A 1766-nucleotide genomic window follows, 5' to 3' on the forward strand; every position below is an offset into this window, starting at 1 on the left:
TTCTTCCTTTATGTAGGCTGTCTGTTTAATCTGTTGAAATTTTCTTTTGCTGTTTAAAAGCTCTTTAGTTAGGTCCCACTTTTCTATTTCTGTTTCCATTGCAATTGCTTTTGGAGATTTTATCATGAAATGTTTGCCAAGGCCTAGGTCCAGAATGGTATTTCCAAGGTATTTTGCTAGAGTTTTTATAGTGATAGGTCTTACGTTTAAGTCTTTAATCCATTTTGAGTTGATTTTTGAATACAGTATAAAAAAGGGGTCCAGTTTCAATTCTCTGCATATGGCTAGCCAGTTATCCCAGAACCATTTATTGAATAGAGAGTTCTTCCCCATTGTTTGCTTTCATCAACTTTGTTGAAGATCAGATGTTGTAGGTATGAAAATTTATTTCTGGTTTCTCTAACCTGTTCCATTGGTCTATTACACCTGATTCTCGAAGTGGACACTTTCAAACCACAGTAGTGAGTACGGAATTAAACACATTCCATTTAGTCAGACAAAAAACAGACTAGAAAGGACAAATCGCAAAACACGGAGCTCTTCTGGAGTATTGGTACCCCTGGTAACCATTGCCTAACAACAACTTACCAGCTAGAAAGTCCAAGGCCCTTAAAAGCCTCTAGAAAAGAAAAGGAGAGAGGAGTTGAAGTGTGAGAACTAAAGTGTGAAAATAATGCCTTCACTTGTGATAAAATGAAAAACAAGTGGGAATTTTTCTATGAGCTTAGGTAATGGTGGACTCATTACTTCTTACATATTACAAGGTGAATATAAATCAAACAGTATGCCTTTGAATTTCAAGAAGCCCATAAAAGTCAGATGATTTTATAATAGTTTTCCTGGTACATTAAGCAAGCCACACCTAAGTGAGTGGGCATAAGGATATCATTGAAGACAAGGTATGTGTCATCTGCCAGCCTTGAGGGGAAATTGTTGAATCTCAGAAGAAATAAATAATATGCTATATTGGGGCTCTTGCCAGATACAGTTCAGCTTGGTCATGCAGGGTGAAAATAGAACATATAAGAAGTAGCACCCTCTCTGTGTTCATTTTTACATTTCTTATGCTTCATGTCAAAGCTCATTTGACTCCAAAAAAAGAAGAAAGAAAAATCCCAAAGAGAAACATTTTATCCACAAGGAACACCAAGAAAAATGCAGCTTAACAAAGAAGTGACAAATCCCTTTGGTCCTCTAACGAGTGTCTTCAACAAAACAAATAAAGCAAACAGTCAAAGCGGAGCTTGACCCAAGTTATAATGACTACCTGGAGAGCTGTTTTGTTTTACATATCCCAATTCAATTTCACATTATTCCAAGGCACATAACAGACTTGGATACAATCATGAAACGTTCACACCTGAAAAATAATCTCTGTAGAACTTGTTTTCAATGATTTTCAGGTCAGAGACCCCTTTGAAAATCTGCAAAACTATGGAAGTTTATTTCAGAAAACAAAACAAAAAAAAAAAAAAAAAACCTTAACATTTTAGGGATTTCAGGTTCTAAAGAAGATTTTTATAGCAAATGTCACAGGCGTTTGAATGACAGTAACTCCATTTTGAATAGGGGCTGGATAAAACGAGGCTAAGATCTGCTGGGTTGCATTCCCAGGAAGTTAGGCATTCTTAGCCACAGTATGAGATAGGAGGTTGGCACAAGATACAGGTCGCAAAGACCGTGCTGATAAAACAGGATGTGATAAAGAAGCCAGCCAAAATCAAGATGGCGAAGAAAGTAACCTCTGGTTGTCCTTGTCAGGCCTC

At 36.9% G+C, this 1766-nt stretch overlaps 1 annotated feature.

The window, feature by feature from the left end:
* Positions 1472-1766: a silencer, noted in NCBI's record as "tiled region #873; HepG2 Repressive non-DNase unmatched - State 24:Quies". NCBI's record gives its function as "represses a minimal TATA promoter and a strong SV40 promoter by Sharpr-MPRA in HepG2 cells {active_cell/tissue: HepG2}" and the evidence as "EXISTENCE:reporter gene assay evidence [ECO:0000049][PMID:27701403]".

This window comes from Homo sapiens, chromosome 9 (genome assembly GCF_000001405.40).
Source record: "Homo sapiens chromosome 9, GRCh38.p14 Primary Assembly".
Lineage (NCBI taxonomy): Eukaryota > Metazoa > Chordata > Mammalia > Primates > Hominidae > Homo > Homo sapiens.